The sequence below is a fragment of the Homo sapiens genome, chromosome 6 (genome assembly GCF_000001405.40).
Source record: "Homo sapiens chromosome 6, GRCh38.p14 Primary Assembly".
In the NCBI taxonomy this organism is placed as follows: domain Eukaryota; kingdom Metazoa; phylum Chordata; class Mammalia; order Primates; family Hominidae; genus Homo; species Homo sapiens.
In genome coordinates this window covers 7,589,657-7,612,712 of record NC_000006.12, presented here as the reverse complement: position 1 = coordinate 7,612,712, position 23,056 = coordinate 7,589,657, and the positions used below count along the sequence as shown (strand labels likewise).

The 23,056-nt window shown below is 37.5% G+C and overlaps 1 protein-coding gene across 3 annotated transcripts, besides 2 other annotated features; it reads right to left on the bottom strand.

The window, feature by feature from the left end:
• Positions 1 to 745: 745 nt before the first annotated feature.
• On the bottom strand, positions 746 to 22,515 carry SNRNP48 (small nuclear ribonucleoprotein U11/U12 subunit 48). 3 transcript variants are annotated; one of them, NM_152551.4, is made up of 9 exons: positions 22,300 to 22,515; positions 18,866 to 18,979; positions 18,554 to 18,614; positions 17,612 to 17,686; positions 11,189 to 11,377; positions 9,969 to 10,090; positions 7,227 to 7,315; positions 6,518 to 6,682; positions 746 to 3,888 (listed from the first exon to the last, which is right to left on the bottom strand). In NM_152551.4, the coding sequence occupies exons 1-9, from the start codon at positions 22,453 to 22,455 to the stop codon at positions 3,840 to 3,842; spliced, it is 1,020 nt and encodes a 339-aa protein (NP_689764.3). In that variant the 5' UTR covers positions 22,456 to 22,515; the 3' UTR covers positions 746 to 3,839. The 3 variants fall into 3 exon arrangements, with proteins under 3 accessions (NP_689764.3, XP_011512614.1, XP_047274194.1); XM_011514312.4 differs by having other exon boundaries at positions 22,363 to 22,515; XM_047418238.1 differs by lacking the exons at positions 746 to 3,888; positions 6,518 to 6,682; positions 7,227 to 7,315; positions 9,969 to 10,090; positions 11,189 to 11,377 and adding an exon at positions 12,854 to 13,040.
• Positions 22,019 to 22,758: an enhancer, noted in NCBI's record as "H3K27ac-H3K4me1 hESC enhancer chr6:7590188-7590927 (GRCh37/hg19 assembly coordinates)". NCBI's record gives its function as "activates a minimal SCP1, AML or CMV promoter by ChIP-STARR-seq in primed H9 embryonic stem cells {active_cell/tissue: H9 hESC(primed)}" and the evidence as "EXISTENCE:reporter gene assay evidence [ECO:0000049][PMID:30033119]".
• Positions 22,291 to 22,440: an enhancer, noted in NCBI's record as "active region_23950". NCBI's record gives its function as "activates an Ori minimal core promoter by ATAC-STARR-seq in GM12878 lymphoblastoid cells {active_cell/tissue: GM12878}" and the evidence as "EXISTENCE:reporter gene assay evidence [ECO:0000049][PMID:35858748]".

Sequence of the window (23,056 nt, the reverse complement as noted above, 5' to 3'; positions counted from 1 at the left end):
GTATGGAGAAGGTATGGAGGGACTAAGAGTCTGCCCAGGGTTACACAGCCTGTATTGTACCTGACTCATCTTACTGCCCTCTTTGATCAGTTATTCTGTCAGTATGTGAAGAATTTATTACGTTAAAGTATTGGTTTTTTAATTGTGTCGGCATTACCAAATAAAGCCCAGGCTCCTGCTTCATCTCTGTATTCCTGACGCTCCCTTTAATTACCTTTCTCATTCTAGACTAGGAGTCATGGCTTGCAGCTGGAGGAACATGGGTTACTAAAGCTCCACAATTACGGGAAATTATCCTCATAAAGAGTACTCAAGTAACTCAAACCCAGATCCCTTAATTGGTGACACAAGATGTGAAACTCCTAAGGAAGGACTCCCCGGAGCCTGCAGCCTTTCTTCATTCACCATTCTCCCCATGGCTGTATGTAGCAAGTACCCCTGCTTTATAATACTAAAATAAAGGACTAAAAGCTAGGTTAGGAATTTATATTCTATTTTAAGGCAGCCTCTTTTTTCTTAGGTGGACTTGTTTTTAAAATGGGAAAGTGACTTGACTTATTCAATAAAGATGAATCTAGCTCAGAGCCCCTTACATCTGGCAAATCTTATTTTTTCTTTCCTGAAAGGGAGCTCTAGAAATTACTGGTCCCAGTCCAAATATCCAAAAGCTATGAGCATTTTCTGTAACACCAAAAACTCCTAAATCTGTGACCACAGCAGGAAGTACAATCACTAATAAAACAAGTGTGGTTTAAAAGAGCGTTAGTTTAATAATTCACACACCTGCAGGATCAATTATAGCAAATGAAAAAGCAAGCTACATAAAAGGAAATTGACTTGTAAACACACTCAAGCAAATATAAGTGGGTTTTATTATTTTTATGCTCAGAATGCAAGAAAGCTTTGCGCCAGAACCGTTAAACATTCATGAACTCACTAAAAAGAAACAGAAAATGCCCTTAGAAGACGGGCGGGGCGAGGGGGAAGACCTATGAACATGTTTATAGAATTAATGTCTGTACTGTAGCATACACAGGTAATTAGAAAATATTCTCAATGCATTTAAGATATTTTCACTAAAGGGTTTGAGATTATCCAATTAGCTGTACTCGAAAGTGGCAAATACTTGAAGATCATTGATTTAATTTAAAATTCTGAGTGCTGAGTTCAGTTTCCTACTGAATATAACCAGTGCCCTGGGCTCTGCATGGCAGTTGACTTGCCAATATCTCAATTAAAGTGACTAGGCACAGTGGCTCACACTTGTAATCCCAGCACTTTAGGAGGCCGAGGCCAGGAGCTTGAGACCAGCTGGAGAACATAGTGAGATCCTGTCTCTACAAAAAAATTTAAAAATACATACTTTTTAGACAGGTGTGGTAGATCACACCTGGTGCCTGGTGGCTCCCAGCATTTTGGGAGGCTGAGGACAGGAGGATCATCTGAGCCCAGGAGTTCAAGACCAGCCTAGGCAACAGAGCAAGACTCCATCTCTAAAAAACTAAAAACATTAGCCAGGTGTAGTGGCACACACCTATAGTTGCAGCTACATGGGAGGCCAGGGCAAGAGGATCGCCTGAGCCTAGGAGTTTGAGGCTGCAGTGAGCTACAGACTGCACCACTGCACTCCAGCCAGTAGATTAGAAATGTTTGTGAGAAGGTACCTTAATGGATGGGCAAGATGGACAGCAGCTATAGTAATTATTCATAGCAGCACTCTAGAAATAAAAACTAGATCTTATGTGGCAGGGCTGTGAAAATGCTTTTGTCAAAATTTAAAATTACAGATTAACACCTATGAGGCTGCAGGCACAGGGGTCACGCTGATGAAGGCATAAACCCTGCTCTCAAGTAGCTCACATCCAGTGAAAGGCTCAAACCACAAACAGGGAAGTACGTGAGATTAATTCGTTCAAGGATCAAACAAATGCCTCTTTTCACCCGATGCCACATTTCATTAAATAGTTTGTAGCAGTGATACTATAAAATGTGAGCTTTAAAGAACTCTGGTAACATTTTCAATCTCTTCCTTTCTCCGTACTCTTCTATTTCCCCCCAATTTCTCCAATCCACTCCTAATTTTCACTTGTATCTTTCTTCTACAAAAAACCTAAATATGCCAATTTTACTCTTCTTCCTTCCAGTTAGTAAAATCAATGAAATCACAATTTGAAACAAAATTATAAGTTGTCACACAATATGAAAAATATGAAATTCCTGATGATTCAAGTAGTTTTGATCTATAAAAGCAGCAATTTCATGATTCATCAGTCACTCCCAAGTCCTTGCTTTTATAATTTTTAAATGTGGATTTTATATATTTAGAAATTAAGTACAATGGCAGCAATATGACTATATATTGGCAAGTAACCTGGTGATTTCCAATTTATAAATCTGAGAGCTGTTTCCCATACCTGAAGCCTAACAGCCAATCTGATCCAAATCCAATCTTTCTGTCACTGTCAGCTACTTATTAAAATAATAAGATTTCATTTCTACTTGGAAACAAAATCTTTAACCTGAGTTTCCAGTATTCAAAATATTGCTATTTAGATGTCGGATGCTTAACATTTCATGCCAAAGTCTCACGTGAATGATCTGACATAAGATAGAACATACTACTCAGCAACAAAAAAAATGCACAACTGACACACAGGGATCAATCTCAAAAATCTGCAGAGAGGAAGAAGGCAAAGTACATACTACAGTATTCTATTTACATGAATTCTACAATGGATAGATCTAATCGGTAACCAAAAGCAAATCTGTGGCTGCCTAGGGCTAGGGGTAGAGGAATTGATTGGGAAAGGGGGTATGAGAATTTTGGGGGCAATGAAAATATTTGTATCTTGATCGTGATAGTGGCTGCACAGAGGTATGAATCTGTCAAAACCCAATAAAATACACACGTAAAAAGGGTGCAATAAATCTAAGTAAATAGTACCTCAATTCAGTTGATTTACAAAACACAACATGACAGTATATTTTAAATTAAATGAAACATTAAGACCTTATTTTTTAAAAAAATTAATGTTATGGATAAAGCTAAAGTTCCCTCTGACCACCCTCCCAATCCTGATTTGCACCCCTAATCTCTCATCTATACCTCCTACTCGCTGTTAGAACTTTGGTATGGATTCCTCTGAACCTTTAAAAATAGATTTACGTACATTATATAGCCATAGAGAATGCATAGTATTGTTTTGTACATATATATAATTTGTATATAACTTTCTACAACTTGCTATTTTCACTGAGCATTATGTTTTTGAGACCAATCCAGGTTAATATGGATCTAGATTATTTCTTTTAACTCCAATACAATAATCTATCCTATGACTACATCATATTTTAATTAGGCCATTCCTCTTCAATATTTAGATTGTTTTTCCCTACTACAATTCACCAGTGTAGTGGTAAACAGTAGTCACCACTGGGGTGAGGACAGAACCGCAGGTGGTGTTCTAAGGGTTATTAGCCTTATTTATAAGATGTAGTTATAAGATGAGAATGTATTCATGTTTAATTTACATATGATAAATATTGACTTAAAGAATTTTGAGATACATATATTAGCAAAACGAACAAAACAACATCAGTTATAGGAAGCAAATCATCTAATAAAATATAAGGAAAACAAAGTTGTAGGGCCTAATAGTGTACTCATGGTTTGAAGCATATTTACTGGAAAATAATAAGCACTAAACAGATCATAAAAAAAATAATAAGCACTAAACAGATCATAAAAACATTCTCCTATGCAAAGGAATTCCAATTAATATATCTGTATATTGGTTATCATGGCGTAAGCATAATTAATATAGGTACAAGTACTTCATTTATATTTTTTGCTTTCTTCTTTTATGACTATGGTGTCTTTCCCCATCCCTGAAATAAAAGAGGTATAAAAAAATGGTTATAAATGATGGACATTTTAATATCAGAGCTTTAAAATAATTCAACAGTAATACACCACTTTCAACAGTAATATGCTACTTTAACATTCTATTTGAAAAGAATTTTCTGGTTATCATTTACATATACTCAAAGTTAATTTTAAAGCAGAATTTCAAAGCGTAATTAAAAAAAAATCACTTTGATTATTCCTATTTCAGTTTCGTCTCTTAGTTTTTTTATTTGTTTGTTTCTGTTTTTTTGAGATGGAGTTTCACTCTTGTTGCCCAGGCTGGAGCGCAAATGGCACGATCTTGGCTCACTGCAACCTTCGCCTCCCGGATTCAAGCGATTCCTGCCTCAGCCTCCCAAGCAGCTGGATTTCAGGCGCGAACCACCACACCTGGCTATTTTTTGTATTTTTAGTAGAGTCAGGGTTTCACCATGTTGACCAGGCTGGTCTCGAACTCCTGACCTCAGGTGATCCACCCGCCTTGGCCTCCCAAAGTGCTGGGATTACAGGCATGAGCCACCACGCCCGGCCTGTCTCTTAGTTTTAATAATGCATTTTTCATACATACTCTTAAAAAAAAAAACACTTTAATTCGAAATGAATGTTTTACTTGTTCTGGTTTACGTCAGATAAACAAAGTCCCTATAATTCAGTCCACCCCAGGGTTGGATATCAAAGATTAGCCTGTTGAGAAGTATTTCTTACTTATATCCAGTTTATCTTCTTTAAATAAAAACTATTTAATGTTTAGATTTTGAGGACTTCTAATGTATTTAAGTCAACAGGGATTGATTAGAGATGTCAAAAATTACTTAAGTAGAAGAAGCACTATAGTTATTATAAAACAGCATATGAATCAAAAAGGATTACTAAGCAAATATTTCATTTGTATAAGAAAAGGACTAAGTCATAGGTAGCTTTAAACCTAATTAACTGAATGATAGTAAGATGAACAAAATTACCAAACCAATACAATAAGCTTTAATTCCTGATTACCAGTGGCCCTGGAGAGACAGGATATTATTTGAGAGCCTAATATTTGAAAGTACTTTGTGTATAAAACTAAGTAAGATACAGACCTTGCCTTCATGGAGCTCACAGTCTAGCAGCGATAATAATAACTATTAAGCTCAAGAACAACTATAAGCTAGGTAGGGTGGCAACAAAATGGAAAAGATGATCAGCTCTGCTTGAACAAGTGAGAAAAAGGCTTCAGGAAATGGCTGAGATGGGTCTTAAAGGATGAGGAGGAGTTTACCAAGTAGGCTTTTAAAAAGAGGTAGGCAGCAGAACACAAAAGTGGAAAGGCATAGATGTGGCACAGTGTGGATGAGGAACTCTAAGTAACTCAGGCTGGCTAGAGGACAAGTTATGCATTTCATGGCGTAGTAGCAAAATACAAGAAGTAGGTAGGAGCCAGGATCCCAGAAGTCTTGAGAGCCATTCAAAGAATGTGAATTTTGCCACTGAAGAGTTCTCACTTTTTTTGAGACAGGGTCTCACTTTGTTGCCCAGGCTGGAGTGCAGGGGTGAGAACACGGCTCACTGCAGCCTCAACCTCTCAGGCTCAAGCAATCTTCCTGCTTCAGCCCCACAAGTGGCTAGGACCACAGGTATGCACCACCACACCCGGCTAATCTTTGTATTCTTTGTAGAGACGAGGTTTTGCCAGGTTGCCCGGGCTGGCCTTGAGCTCCTGAGCTCAAGTGATCACCTGCCTCAGCCTCCCACAGTGTAGGGATTATAGGCATGAGCCACCATGCCAGACCGCCACGGAAGAGTTCTATGAGGTGACTATTCACTCTAGCAGTATACAAGGGAATGGAATCATATGCAGTAAATTTAGAGACAAGTAGAAAAATTAGGAAAATGACCATCATTTCATTAGGAACTGACCAGATGATAAGGAGTGGAAGGAAGTATCTAAAATGACTCCTTGATTTCTGGCTTAGGTTAATAGATGAGAGTCATCTCTTTAACCAGGACAGTAATGCTGGGGAAAGAGGAGCAGATTGAGAAAAAGGTAAGTTTAGTTCTAGACCTGATGAACTTGAGATCCAGGTACATGCCTTGTAAGCAGCTGGACTACAGAAATAGACCTCAAATGATTTACATTTACTAATTCGGTATTAATTCACATCTCTCAAGCTATCAAAATTTTACTAACAAAGGCAAAATTGACTGTCAAAATTTAGATGTTCTCTCTGACCCTACATACCCTTATTTGAGGAATTAGCAGGAAAAAGAAAGAAAGAATAAGAGAAAGAGGAAGGAAGGAATGAGCAGAAGAAAGGGATCTGGGAAAACCGTGTTTAACAGTTAATGTCCTGCCTAGACAATACTTTCATATGTCCTGTTTAGGAAGCAAGCAAGTAAGAGATAAAAAAGGGAAAAAAACATCCAATCACGCATGTAGAGATCTATGTCACTAGAGTGGTGGTTATTTGAACTGAACTATAATGAATGTTAAGAATCATCGTCAATTGTTTACTCTCCTTACTTTAGCTTATTCTTAAAATCTATTTTCTCAGCATGGTCTACAACAGAAGAACCTGTTCTATTTTTAAAAAGTACAGAATTCAACGTTGGATGATGCAGGGTTAGACCCACCTCTCTTTCCTTCTTCTCGACTCACAGTTTTTATCCTTATCTTTGTTTCTTTTTCTTTTATGTGGGCTTCTACTCCTATCCCTTCTATGTCGTGAACACTCAGCATCCAAATAGCTTCCACCAGACTGCCGTGAATCTACTGAAGCTGATCGCCTTTCTTCATTCCTAAAACACAGAAAAGAATGTTAATCAGTTTGTGTTACCACTGGTCTCCAGTATACGTACACAGACACACCAGTCTAAAGTGTAATATTCTATATCAAACCAATGGTAGATATGGTCTAAATATGCACAATCTTATAACCCATATAAAAGGACAAATAAACACAGCTCTTAACCCATTTATGCCTGAGGTTGCAATTTTTTTAATTTTTGCAATGAGACCTTGGCGATGACCTTGAGCAGTAGGACATAAATAACTCCCACATGCTTGGTGTTCCCATAATGGAATACTAGGCATAAATGTTAGTATGTTTTGCTATTTGAATATTTCACTAATATGGCTATCCCCTGAAAACTGTCAAAGGGTAATGTCAGAACAACTCTGGTACAATAACCCTGGGCACTGACAACGAAAAACAAAAAGCATTTTCACGAGTTTACTGTGTGCTATCAAGGGTTTTGGAAATGCTAAAATTTAACAATTATAAGTTAATTGTTATCTGTTATCAAAGAGAGAGTATTTTCACCAATAAAGATAATGACGTACTTTTCGGCATCATCCTCTGCCTTCTCTTGCTCTTCTTGCCAATGATTGCTGAGTTCTTCCATGTGCACATTTATCACATCTCGAATCACCTTGGGAGAGGTAAGCACCGAACTTCAGGTAAGAAAACTGCTCAAAAAATTAAGACTGTAACGCTAGAAAAATCAGTGCTAACAATCAAATATTTACTAAGTGCTATGACATAATTGACTGTGGGACTTGTGCAGTTTAGAGAACACAGAAAAGGCAATGGTCAAACTGGAATATGAATAGTAGATAAAAGTTTTACAGCAATATTAAATTTGAAGTTGCTATAACTGTACTACCTTTATGTGAGAAAATATCTCTGTTCTTAGGAAATACATACTGGGGATAAAGGGTTATGAGGTATGTAATTTAACCCTTAAAGAATTCAGGGGAAAAAAATATGTACAGATCGAGATCGAGAGAGTGAAAAATGTGCAGAGAGAGAGAGAGAGAGTGCCAATGAGAAGCTATGTGGCAAAATGCTAACAATGGGTGATCTGGGTAAAGACAATATGGGAGTTCTTGGTACTATTTTTAGTTTTGCAATTTATCTCTCTATTAGAGCTTATTTACAAATGATTTTTTTAAAACCTTATAATTAAGTCATCTTGACTTAATCATATGACTTAATAAGACAAAATATGAAACATACAGTCACTTCACAGATACTTTCTGAATGACTCTATAAAGAAACTTTCAAATAGGTAAAAACCACTTGAAAGTTTTTCCTTTCCTATTTACCCATGCCACCAAGCACAGGGTTAGTCACTGCAGAGGCAAAGACAAAACTAAAATAGGAGTTTACACTTCCCTCATGATTAAATAGAAAATGTTTTCAGAAAAAAGGTATAGGGGACACGGGGCAATCTCAGAAACACTATTCATTCAGGCCTGACTGCATTTCTCCCCACCTTAAAGAAACTTTCAATGGCTCTCAAAGTAAAATCGAACAATATCCAAACTCCTTAATGAAGCCTTCAGAGCCCTCCAGGATTTTCCTACATAAGATAGAACTTAGCCTCATCTCTCAACAGAGAAGCCCTAAGCTCTAGCCACCCTGGGTTACTAATGAGTCTCTGAAAAACTCCTATACTTCTATCTGCTTTTCAGAATGCTAGTTCTTCCACCCGGAAAATCCTTATCCACCACTTCTCCTCCTCCACTATATTCTCCCATGGAAAACCTAAGATATGCCAAGGTCCAACCTAGCGGAGTGACATGAGTCACACACACCTATCTCAAGTTCCAGCTCTCGCACTTCCCTGGCAGGCCTACAAGCCTCCCTGTCAGCAGCTCTATGTAAGCGCCTTGAAGCCTGCTATTTGCACAGAATCCACCTAGCTCAGGCTCCACCACATAGGCAAGAGTCAATAGCAGACATTCCTTTATTCCTCCTTGCTTCTCCCTTTCCCTCAAATGCTTTTCTCTATGAAGCCCTTGCCAATCTTTTATTTCAATTTTTGAAGCTGGGTGATGGGTACATTCCTTAGACGATGCTATCCACTTTAGTATATGTTTGAATATTTCCACAATAAAATATCAACTATAAAACCGTAAAGAATGCTAGCAGCAACATTTAAGCTTGATTACAAGGGTTATGAGACGAGAGAAGAAATAACTGATGAGCCAAGTATCTTAGGGACTATGAGAATCACCAAGGTAGTATGACAGGGACCCAGGTCTCTACTTGCTAAGTTAAGTCTAAAACACAGATTTTAACTGTAAAAAGAACAGCATAAAATTTAGAGCTAAGCTGTGTGGTACAGAGTATTAGTACAATAAACTAGTGATAGATTAGTCAACTAGCACCTCATGGAAATGGTGGCCCTTAAACTCAACAAGATTTAAAATGGCAAAAACAGAGCATTTCAGGTAAGAAAGTAACAGGTAATAGGGCATGGAGGTAAGAATAATTATATGCAATCAGATATAGTTTAAGAGACATGCTTGACTAAAGCAAAAGAAATGCTTGGGAAAAGGAGGCCAGATTATGGAAGGTCTTTTAAATCAGAGAGAAGTAAGAAATAATACGGGAACAATTAGGGAATCAATGAGGCAATTATTTGTAGAGTCTGGGCAAGGTAATTCACATACCAAAAAAATTCATCAACTCTAACGAGCCATTAAATGGCATCTGAAAATAAGTCTAGACATACACCAAGAGACTAATACATAAATAATGTATATCAAGACATTTCTTAAGTCCAAATATTTACTAGAGTACATAAAAACATGCTTTCTGCCAAAAAAGATAATAGCTAATATTCATGAAGAAATTTGTGTTTGCATACATTCTGTCAGTCAATTCTCATAACAACCCTGCAAAGATTATATTATTATTATTATGAAAAGAAAACATTCAATCTAAAAAGCTCAAATAACTTGCTTAAGTCAAAGAGCCAATGAGAAACAGCAGAATCAAAAGTCAAGGTATGGTCTACCTAAACCCAAACTCATGCTCTTACCATGATACACTACTACTTTCTCACAAGGAGATATCTTTTAAGATTGTACAATTGTTTTATATAAGGTTCTTATACTATGAAAGCCTTTGCTTGCTAAAGGGTGGATCTAGAAGTGATGGAACAGATACAAATCAGGTGTGGCCACCCTGAAGACACTTTCAGAAAATTTCCAAAGAATTGTGGAAATTCATAGAACAGATTTAGAAAATTACCTAAGGGAAATTCTTATCAACAAAGATTATGTAAAACTTACCTCAGTATATGATTTCTTGGTTATGTGAACATTCTTGGCTCTATAGGACTGGCGTCTTCTTTTATAATCTCGTACTTCTGCCAGGATTTCAAGGTAGGATTTTGGACTTTTTCGACTATTGTCTAATGAAAGAATAAAATAAAAGTATTATATCCTTCAAAGCTTTTAAATTCTATGAATTATCAAATAAATACATCACAATCCTATATTTTAACTTGTTTCAAAGTAGCACATAAAAACATTCTAAAAATTGTATATTATTTATATACACGGGCTAAGTTTTATATCATTTCTTCTCTCCAGCCATTAGTTGAACATAAGAGTGCTTAGGTACATAGATTAAAGTAACAGCACAGTTGTAATATTTTCACAGAAAGAAGGTACATTTAATGTAAAAGTCAGAGTAAAACCTCAGGTACTGAGTAAATATCCCTCAGTATCCATGCAGAATTTGTTCAGGAACCCCCAAGGATATCAAAATCCATGGATGCTCAAGTCTCTGATATAAAATGGTGTAGTATTTGTATATAACCTACACACACCCTCCAGTACACTTGAAGTCATCTCTAAATTACTTTCAATACCTAATACAGGCCGGGTACAGTGGCTCACGTTGTAATCCCAGCACTTTGGGAGGCCAAGACAGGAGGATCACTTGAGGCCAGGAGTTTGGGACCAGCCTGGCCAGCGTAGCAAAACCCCATCTCTACTAAAAATACAAAAAGTAGCCAGGTGTGGTGGCACATGTCTGTAATCCCAGCTACTCAGGAGGCTGAGGCACGAGAATTGCTTCAGCTTGGGAGGCAGAGATTGCAACGAACTGAGATCGCGCTACTGCATTCCAGCCCGGGTGACAGAGTAAGACTCAGTCTCAAAAAAACAAAACAAAAAAAACACCAAAAACCTGATACGATGTAAATGCTGCATGAATAGTTGTTAATATATTGTTTATGGAATTATGACAAGAATAAAAAGTCTCTACATGTATAGTACAGAGGCAACCACACACTTTTATTTTTTCCAAATATTTTCAATCCACCGTTGGTCAAATTGATGGATATGGAACCCACAGACACAGAGGGCCAACTTCATGTCAATATTAAATGATACAAAACCATTTTACTCTAACTCAAAGTGGCCCAAGAATTAAATCATCTTAATAACACTCATAGAATAAAATGATAATGAAGAAATGTAAAGCCATGATGTGCATCTCAAACCTTGATTGATTTTGGCAGCCAAGTCTACAAAGAGATCGCTGTCATTTTCAATAATTTGAGAATCAGAGCGCTTTTTCTTTGTCTCCTCAACTACGAAATCATAGAGGGCAAGACGATCAGCTTGAGTTAGATCACAAACAAACCGTTTGTGATTCAAAGGAACTTCAACAGGCAATGAAGAATAAATTCCTAAAGTAAAAATAAAATCACAAGAATAAACAATACATGAAGCATTGTGAACTTAAAATCTAATAATTATCTTTAAACATGTGCTTTAATAATGCAATATTAACACAAACTTTTTTCATAATCCCTAAGTATACAAAATATCAATCTAAGCAATAAATGACAAACAATTCTATCCTGAATGTTATATCCACAAAAAAAAAAAAAATGTATTATGGATGTTTGCTATTCTCTCCAACAATATAAAGACAGATCCCATGGAGGCAGGCAGGAATAATCATAAGAGACAATTTGCTCTAAGAAAGCCTTTTGGGTAACAATTTTTATAGCCATCTACAAAAGTAGGTATCTGTTGATATGCTTTTCCCCATCAAAGTTGGGGGAAAAAATGCTTTTAATAAGTAATATGCATTACAGTCCCTTTGAAAATAAACTATGGAAATATTAAAAACTGTGTAAAAAATATCTTTTTGTATGAGACATCAAGCTAGATGGTCAATATTCAAAATATATCCCACTTGTGCAAGGACTTAGAGCTAGGGGCCACAAAATAATTAAGTAGCAGAAATCCCACACCTCCTCACGCCAGGAAAGCACAGATTAAATTAAACTCATTTTAATTTCCTGAGGAGGAAGCATAGTGGCTTAACCAAATTAATTGAAAAAAGTTAATAGCAGTGCCCCCCGGTAGTTACAGAATTTTCTAAAATCTGCTCATTAGTGAAAAAAAGTAAATACAATACCTTGATATGATGTATTAAACATTGAAGAAAATTTTTGTTTTGAGATTCAAATTTTCTCAAATAAAAAAATGATTGGAACTGTAAAAAAAGCAATTTAAAACAATTCTTTCTAGACTTCATTACTCACTAATGCAAACAAAGAACATGAGCTACTAAAGGAATCCTTTTATTGTTTGCTAACTTATTCTAAAGTAGTAACTGGTTCATAGAACAACATAAAATCAGTAGCTCTTTCCAGATACTTATATTTGATAAAGTCTAACCTCATTAAGTTCCTAGGTAGAGGCAAAAAGAATTCAAATAAGAGCATACTATGAACTAAGCATTACAACAAAAAAGAGGTACTACTTGTCTACATATTAAGAGGAGAGCTGCAGTGAATCTGAGGCCATGGTTTAACACGGCTATACATAACAATATATGGCCATTTTTACTCGTCAAAGGGTTTTGAATTAATGGGGAAAAAAGGGTTCCCTTTCAAGTCAATCAATTTTATTCTAATTATAGTAGGCATTTCATAATACAAAATTATAAAAACAGCTTTGATAAGCCTAATTCCTTTGAATTAGGCTATAAAAATTTGGGAGGAAAACACAGATTAGAAAATAATGATGTATTACAAACAAGCTTCATATAAACCTTTGCCTGTTATTTTTAAACAAAGAAATATAATTTCCTTCTTAAATTATTTTAGCCTTTTCTTCAATTTATTCATCTTAAATTTCTTTATGATGAAGACTGATACTTAAATTCCTTGTAATTCAACCAAAATTCCAATTCAAGACTATAATATGTGACAGGTATTAAGATAAAGTTTAGAAATTTTACTTTTAAAAGGATATCATTTGCAAAAAGGATACTGCATATCTTTAAATAAGGAGTACATTCAGGTTCCTAATTCCTCTTTATACTCACCCCAATTACTGAAAAAGAAAAAGTACAGGAAAGGTTAAGCAACAAACTGCATTCAATTCATTCGGAACATAGATATTTCTGACAACAAAAAGGATAAACATACTTAAATAAACTTACATTTACATAAAATGTAAATTTTCAAAATGCATGTTTTTAAATGATTTAAAGGTACATATGAATGTGCTGTAATTATAATAACTCTAAGACCCTTTGGCTGCCTGTTTTTGCAGGTTTTTTGTGGCAAAATATATATAACATAAAATTTAACATTCTAACCATTTTTTCAGTGTACTGTTCAGAGACATGAAGTGCATTCACGTTGTGCAACCTCTATCCATCTCTAGAACTTTTTCGTCACCCCAAATTGAAACTCTAATCTATTGTTTTAATAATGCCAATTCTCATTCTTGTTACTTTTGTCATCAAAGGGGATCTTAAACATATAACATTCAACATTAAATAGTACTAGTAGGTGTTGTCACAAAGATACAAATTCAGAATTTTAGGGAGAATTCATTCAGAGTCAATTCCTTAACGTTACAGATAAAGAAATTAAGTGTCATAGAAGTAACATGACTTGCCCAAAGTCTCACAAGTGATAGGAACAGACTGGATCTAAAGCCCATCCTATGCTGTCTTTTTAAGTTTCTTTGATAGTACACTGATCTTCATATCATGGCCATGACTCAAACACACTTCACAATACTGAAGTATACAACCTGAATATTTAATATTGAAAGAAAAAGATAAACCACTAAACATAAAATGATTGTTTATGATTGAAATATCTTGGTTAAAAAATTAACCGAAGTAACTATATCTGAAAATAAGTATATAGATTGAATAGCTGTATGAGCTTTCATAAAGTTTAAGATTGAGAATTCTGTACACTGAGTTTAGGCCTGACATGACAGATGAAATGAAAACATACATATAAAACCTTGTCAAAAAACTTACATTGTAGTGTGTAACAAACAAAATACGAATTAGATGGAGAAATGTAAAATTTTTCATGTTAGTCATTCTCCCTTAAAAGTAAATACATCAATAAGATATTTAAAGAAAGTCCTGTCCTGAGGGAAAAGATCTTAAAATGTCTAAGACATAAGTGAGCCACAAAAATAATCTGTTGAGAAATTGCATAACTCTACAGAGGATATAAAAAAAAATTTTTTTTTCTTTTTTTGAGACAGAGTCTCACCCTGTCGTCCAGACTGGAGTGCAGTGGCGCCATCTTGGCTCACTGCAACCTCCATCTCCCAGGTTCAAGTGATTCTCCTGCCTCAGCCTCCTGAGTAGCTGGGATTACAGGCACGCACCATAGCGCCTGGCTAATTTTTGTATTTTTAGTAGAGACAGGGTTTCACCATGTTGGCCAGGCTGGTCTTGAACTCCTGGCCTCAGGTGATCTGCCCACCTGGGCCTCCCAAAGTGCTGGGATTACAAGTGGGAGCCACCACACGTGGCCAAAAAAAATTTTTAAAGAAGGTTGAAGATCATATAAAGTTACCGTTGGCCAGGCGCGGTGGCTCCCGCCTGTAATCCCAGCACTTTGGGAGGCCAAGGTGGGCAGATCACAAGGTCAGGAGATCGAGACCATCGTGGCTAACACAGTGAAACCCCGTCTCTACTAAAAAAATACAAGAAAATTAGCCAGGCGTGGTGGCAGGTGCCTGTAGTCCCAGCTACTCGGGACCTGAGGCAGAAGAATGGCGTGAACCCAGGTGGCAGAGCTTGCAGTGAGTAGAGATTGTGCCACTAAACTCCAGCCTGGGCGAGAGAGCAAGATTCCGCCTCAAAAAAAAAAAAAAAAAAGGTTACGGTTAACAATTAAATCTTAATTTAAGATAGTGTAAGAATTCAAAATTAAAGTTCCTCTTAACTATCAAAATAATATAATAGTTCCTCTTAACTATTCATTCAAAGTAATTCTTTGCTTTTGAAAAGAACTAAGCTCAATGTCCAAATCTCCCTTATTACTATTATAAAAATTAAAAAGCAGAACATTTTCTAAATTACTCATATATATAAAACTCATCCATTTCATTATCTTAATATTACTTTCTGTATATTAATTTTCACTTAGACCATAGAAGCTACCAATTTTTGGAGCTAAGGCTTGTTTAGCATCCATTATCTCTGTTCCTCTCAACAACTCTATGAGAGTTTTGTATTACAGATAAGGAAACAAAAACTCAGTTATCATCATTAATATATGGCCAAGCAGCTACTTTTATTTCTTTAAAACAGGTTTACACAAAGCAGAATAAACAATGAACAGCACTGATAGTCACGATTAGTATGCAGAGATATGAAGTTTGTGATATTCTTCCACTTAATCATGAAAGACATCATAAATAAATTTGAGCAATATCTAGAATCCTGGTCCACAAATTTTACTAAATGTAGGGTTTCTAACAGAAAATCAAACAACTCAGTTCAGAGTTTGTGTCAAAATTCAGAACTTAGTTCTGGATCCACTTTGATATTATCTAGCAGAGGTGAGTTACTTCACTTTTGTGTGCCTGTTTCTTCACCTATTATGGAGGGGAAAATATCGTTCAACTTATCACAAGTTTGTTGTGAAAGAGAAATGTAATTCATAAAAGAGCTTTAAAAAAATAACCTTTTAAAAAATAAAAATACGGAGAACCTTTAGAACAAACACACTAGAACTTTATCATGTCTCTATCAGACAGGGTTTTTCTTATCTGTAAAATGCAGACACTGGATTAGATGATCTCCAAGTTCTCTTTCAACTCTAAAATTCAGTAAATCTAACCACTTAAGACTCAAATAAAGTCCTTTAAGTATTATTAACCCTTTCAAAAACCAAAAACCTCAACTTTTTTATGGGTACACTACCAGGGGATATGAGCAGAACCAATAGCAGAGGCCAAAAAAGGCTTGACTAGTCATAGCTCAGTAATCTCTCCGAATAAATAAAATGAGAGTCAACTGTCTCCCTCAAAGAAAAAAACCTGGAATTTCCCTGACAGGGACAAAAGTGGGAACCTCAAAACAAAAAATACAAGAAATGTGCTTCTGGCTGTTGTAGAGAACCCATGTAATATAGACAACTAAGGATAAGATGGTCTTTCTTCTGAAGCCATAGAGCAACTCTGAGAAATCAAGTCCAGATACTGGCTTAGAACAGTATTTGGTAAAGATCCTCAATTTCAATGAGGGAGAAAACCAACCATGACTACAGCCTGGTAAATATAATTCAGCTAGAAAAAAGAATGAGGAAAAAAAGGTAAGTTGTCCAGAGAAAGCTACCTACAGAAGGTTCAAAGAAGACAATGCAGAAATCCTTACAAGAGAAGCTGTTCAGGTTTTGGCTAGATGTCATATCTACATTCATTAGAAATTTAAACTTTTATTAACTCGTTTGTCTATGTGTGTTTTTTTTTTTGAGATGGAGTCTCGCTCTGTTGCCCAGGCTGGAGTGCAATGGTGCAATCTTGGCTCAATGAAACCTCCGCCTCCTGGGTTCAAGCAATTCTTCCTGCCTCGGTCTCCTGAGTAGCTGGGATTACAGGTGCTTGCCACCATGCCCGGCTAATTTTTGCATTTTTTAGTAAAGACAGGGTTTCGCCATGTTGGCCAGGGTGGTCTTGAACTTCTGACCTCAGATGATCCACCTGCCTCGGCCTCCCAAAGTGCTGGGATGACAGGCATGAGCCACCGTGTCTGGCCTATGTCTATGTTTTTGATGGATGAAGTTTTCTTTCAATTTCCTAAAAGCTTATGCTTAAAACTTCTAACCTACTCTCTGCTGAGGTTCCCAGGGAGAAACTCTTTAACCCAGCTCTAAAGCTGGGCATGAAAGGATCTATTAATATGAATCCTCTGAAATTATATGTAAAACTTTTGTGTTTGTACTTTTTTTCTGAGAAGGGGATCCCAAGCATTCATCACCTCAAACCAACTCACTTACTGGGTAGCAAGCAATCTGAGGGTAGCTGTGGAGACTAATCTCTTTTAGCCTAAGCCTTTTCTTTACACTGCATTTCAACACTCTAAAGAGAGGAAATCTCAAGAGTAAAAGAGCCTCACTCAGTGGCATTTATAGATGTTCCTTGACTTACATGGGGTTACATCCCGATAAACCCATCATAAACTGAAAATACCGTTAAGTTGAAAATGCAGCCCAGCGTCTGATAAAAGAATCACTAGTACTTAAAGTCTAAAACCTTGTGATTGTGTATTGTTTTCACAACACCATAAAATTGAAAAAATCCTAAATTAAATCATCATTAAGTTGGGACCATCTGTATTTACTAAATAATAATTTTTTTAATTAGCCACAAGACAATCTCACCTATAAATCGCCAGGTAATTCCAAAGGATGAACCCCTAGCTAAGATAGTGTCTTAGTGAGACTCTGGTGTATCTCAACAGGAAATATCTAACAAATGAAGTTGAAACGAAGCAAATTAGCCCAATGTTAAATGTAAAACTTTACCTTTCCCATGTAACAGTTTTCACAGGTTTTTCTTGAAGAAAATTAGTAACATGCTTATGAGAAAAATAATAATTTCATTCTTTAATTCACTTAAACTGTAATGCCACTTACTTTGATTATAACAATCACTGTCTTTCCCAACTGCAGTTCTAGCTTGTTTAATTATCTGGAATTGTGAGTCCTTATCTGTCAAAAAAAAAAAAATCCATAAATACAATATGAATCATCAGTGACCACAATTAAATTATTAACTGGTTTCTGATCCAAGCCCTTTGGGCACGTGGACAAACCTTCCAGAATCTTAAGAAACATCCACATCCCTGTCTATGAAATCTGAACACAGAATCCTTTCAGATTTATCTACAGCCCAGTAAGTAATCAGACTTCAAGCAGTTCATGCCTATAATTAGGCACGCAGCAGTAGCAGCGACAAATTTTACTGACCAATAATAGCTAACATTCTTGAAGCCTGTGCTGTAATGGTCACAACTCTGTGACCCTCTAGCTGACTCCAGCTAAGTGCCTGACACTATTCTAAGAATATTATATATATATATCACTTAATCTTCGCAAAGTGCTATTATAACCATCTCCATTTTATAAAGAAATTTAGGCAACAAACAGGTTAATTACCTCGCTGAAAGTCACATCTTTCATGATAAAAACAGGAGTTGAATCAGGACATTCTTTTTCCAGAGCCCAAGACTTTAACCTCTATATATGCTGTCAATCCCTGGAACACATGTCCATCTTCAGTCTCATCCTTCAATCTGTGTCACATGCTCAAATTTTTGTTGTAACTGAGAAAGAAGGTGTCTGCTCTACTATACAAAGCTTTGTAAGGTTTTCACTGCCTATTAATACAAGCCTGGTCTCTAAACTTCAGATTATGTGAATTAGTTGCCTTGTACATTAATTAATTCTACATTCTCTTAAGGTACTAAATGTCCTTGTCATAAGCATGCTTATACAATCCATTCTTTTCATAATGCAAAAATGAAAAATCAATATCTACACTAAGATATTTTTAAATTATAATAACTTAATACTTACTCAAAGTAATCGAAGGTATCTTCACATTTTCATAGAAAAACTCAGGATTATACATTTCATCCTGAAAAAAAAGAATCTTACTGTTCTTAAGTATCAGATAATTGACTATTTTAAGACTTGACCTAAACAATAGATTAGTATCACTTAATTATTTCTCACAATAATTTGTGCAATTAGGCAAGTACCAACCAACCCTTCAAGTAAGGGCTATTATTTTGTCAGTGAACCTCACATTGTAACTTCCAAAAATTGTGAATTAATGTGTAAAATGCATGACATATATGTATATATAATATAGTAAATATATGGTACCTCTTCTTCTTTGGTATAGCCCATTTTCCTCAATCTACAAGATGCCATGTGCTTTGCCAAAGATGATTTAGGCATGTGATGATTGGAATCGTATGGACATATCACAACTTCATCCTATAAAAATCAAACAGAAACAAAGAAAATAGGTACATAATATTTAAATAAATAATTACCATTAAATGTTTACCATTTAATTATGTACCAGTACTGTATAGTGCATCCTCTTCTACAGGCCTCTCTCAACCCCCATGTAGTTGTGTATTAAAGAAAAATAAAACTCCTTCAACCCCTAACTCCCTAAATGCCCCTGTCCTCTCTCCACTCCTTCAAAGCCTAACTCTTTGAAAGGTGTATTTACACTCACTGTCTAAACAACCTCACCTCACCTATAACGATTCCTCACTCATTGCCACCATCACCCCACTGAAACCAGTCAATAGGTCACTAATAACCTTGTTACTAAAGCCAAAAACATGTCACTGTCTTGTTTTATCTGAACTCTTGGAAGGTCACACTCCAATTGTCCATCTGTGATTCTGACACACCCCTCATGTTCTTTCTACCTCTCTGGCTTCTTCTACTTGGTCTCCTCTAAATATCCTAAATATCTGTCTTCCTTGCTCTATTTGTCCCCCTTTAGATGTTGGTTTTCATGTAAGTATTAATATAACCACTGACCTTTTGCTGTTTAATATATGCTTACTGAAAGATCTCAAAGCTACAACTCTCACTATACAGTGAGGACTCCCAAAATTTAGATCTTTAAACCTTGTTTCTCTCCAGTACCGTATATTAAAGACACTAAAAGTTCAACACAAACAAAAATAAATTAATTATATTCATCATCTCCCAACCCTCAAATCTATTCCTTTTGTACTTTTCTATTTCAGTGAAAGGTCCCCCTTGCTCAAGCAAGAAACTACTTCTCCCTCATCACCCACGTCCAATCAATCACCTAGTCCTGCCAATTTAACTCCTAAATATTTCTGAAAATCCCTCAACATCCTCCATCCCCACTGCCACTTCCCCAACTCAGGGTATCATCAACTCTCTCCTGGAATACAACACCATCTCCTGACTACGCTCGCTCGCTCTCTCTCACTCTTGCTCTCTCTCTCTGCTTCCAGTCTTGCTGCCCTCCCCTTCAGTTTCCATCCTGTAGCTGGTTTGAATTCCATCTCTGCCACTTACTGGCTGCATGAAACTGGGTGAGGTACTTAATCTCTCTTTGCCTCATTTTCTATTATATAAAATAAAAATAATAGCAGGACCTCTCTCACAAAGTGATTGTGAAGATTTAAAAAAGTATACCAAAGTTTATACACATAAAGGAATTCAAATAGGGCCTGGTACATAGCAAGCATTCAATAAATGTATGCTATTATTTTATTAAAAGGTAAATGTGATTATAATATGCCCTGGCTTAAAATAATTCCATACCTCCCCACTGCCTTCATTAAAAAAAAAAAAAAAAATCTAGACTTTCTAATATGGCTGACAAGGACCTTTAAGATCTGACCTCTACCCACCATCACCATTCTACTCTAACTCTACACTCTATGCTCTAGCTATCCTTAACTACTTGAGGCTTCCCGATCTGGTCACTCCCTGTCTCTGAACTTCTACACATGCTGTTGATGCTTCTTCCCCGCACCCGCCAACCCCCTAGCCAATTCAACTCACTTTTATTTATCAGCTTAGAATTCACTTTGTCCAGGAAGCCTTTGCTGACCACCACTTTGTCCACCACCGCCTACAATAAACTGTACTATAGCAATTCCAACCCCACCCATCACAGACCCATGATAATATAATGGTTCAGTTATCCGTATTACCCCTCATCACCACCAGACAATAAGCTCTGTGAGGACTAGGAACTAGGTGACAACTAGGACTAGGAACTAGGTGACAACTAGGACTAGCTCTGTGAGGACTAGGAACTAGGTGACAACTAGGAACAGATGACAACTAGGACTGTTGTTCACTAAATTTCAGTACTAAAACACCGGCGGAAATCCTAACTGCCATTTACTAGCAGTGTATCCTTCGACAAATTATCACTTCTGTGTTCCTTTCCTCGTCTATAAAATGTGGCCAAAGATACCTACCTCATAGGGTTATTTTGAGTATTAAATGAAGTAATGTAAGTGGCAAACAAAGTGCTATTTAAACGTTAATACAAGGAATCCAATGTTACCGCAATGCTGAGTAAACAATGTATGGAAGGGTCTGGTAAGCCCCACTCAGTGGAATTCCCAGCTTCAAATACCCCTCTAAATGAATATTAAAGATTTTTTAATTTCCTCTGTGCTTTTAATACAATAAACAATGAATGGTATATACAGAAATCAAATATATTTTAAATGCCTCTGAGGAATCAGTCATGTAACTTAAACCCAGGAGAAATTATCACAGCATGGTAAACCCAGAAGTAATAGTAAAGATAATGAATTACCCCACATTGGAGCACTTCCCTTCCTCTCATTCCACCGAAAATACCCCACAAAAAAACAAAAATCACGAATGTTCACTCTAAATACACTTGCCTACATTTTTAAAAAAGCAATTCTAATGTCCACAGGAGTTGCCAGTTACCACCTCTTGGTGACAACCTTTAATAATCCTAGAATTGGTGCTGTCCCAGTCAGAAGTGTCCAATTTTAAGGCACAGAAAGGCGAACTGGCAAACTCCCAGCTCTCCTGACACCGAATCTGGTGCAACTGCGGAATCCGTATGACAGATGACAATGCAAACCGCCAATCCCTCTGCAGCGCTCTGAGACACGTTCACTTATTTTCTAAATAAATACCAAATCTGCCATTCCCTCCTCACTCAACACACCTTCCTGGATTTTGTTTGTTTGTTTTTTGAGACAGGGTCTTGCTCTGTCGCCCAGGCTGGAATGCAGTGGAGCGATCTCGGCTCACTGCAGCCTCGACCTCCTGGGCTCAAGCTATCCTTCCACCCCAGCCTCCCAAATAGCTGGGGCCACAGGCTCACACCACCACACCCGGCTAATTTTTGTACTTTTGGTAGAGAAGAGGTTTCACCATGTTGCCCAGGCTAGTCTGGAACTCCTGGGCTCAAGGGATCCTCCCGCCTTGGCCTCTCAAAGTGCTAGGATTACAGGCGTGCGCCACCGCGCCCGGCCCCCGGTTTTCTTTAAACTCGAAGTTGCGCGGGAGGAGCGCCGCACTGGAGGTCGATGTGGAGCCTTCGGGAGTTCCTCGCGCGCCCCAGCCCGGAACCCAGGGACGTCAGGGTTGCTCCAGGGCCCCCGGCGCCCCTCGGGTCCCAGGCGCCCATCGCGGCTCTGCACACGGACGAGGACTCCTCGCCCTTCCCTCCGCGGCTGCCAGTGCGGATCTCCCTTCTTCCAGAGAAGACCCCGGGCCGATAGTCCCCGAAAGGGCCCCGCGGCCGCGCTCCTCACCTCCGCCGCCTCCTCTTCCCCGGGATCCAGACTATCTAGGTCCCAGCCCAGGGACGCGGTCACCTCCTCCAACGTCCGGCAGCCGCTCTCCACGAACTCGTTCAGCTCCTCCTGCAGCCGCCGCCGCTCCTCCACAGGTGGAGGCTCGCCCTCCATAGCTGCAGCCCACCCGCCAAGAGGAAGCGGCCGAACTGCAGACCGCACGCGCAGGCCTCTGGGAGCTGTGGGCGGGGCCACAGTCGCCACGTGACTTGAACAGCCTATAGGGAAGAGTCCCGGGAAGGGCGGGACTGTTATTTTGAGAGGCGTTTTCCAATCTTTTCTCAGCTCTTGCGTGCATTTGCTCTGGCCTTTCCAGAAAGATATTCGCCCTCCTCGACTTCCTCAGAAAAAACGGCTTATAGCTACAGAAAAGTTTTAAAAATAGTACAATGAGCTTTCGTTTAGCCGTCCTTCAGCTCATTGTTAACATTTTGCCAGGTTTGATTTCTCTCCGTCTCTTCTCTCCACATTCACAGCCCCACCCAATGATTTTTGCTGAATTCTTTGAAAGTAAGTTGCAGATTTTTCACCCCCAAATATGTTAGCATGCATGTTCTAAGAATAAGAACATTTTCCTGTGTAACCGCAATACATGATCAAACCTAAGAAAATTAGTAAGTCCATAAAATCATTTATTATACAGTTCATATTCAAATTTCCCCATTGTCCCCAAAATTATTTCTATAGCAGTTTTATTTTTTCAACTCATAAGCTA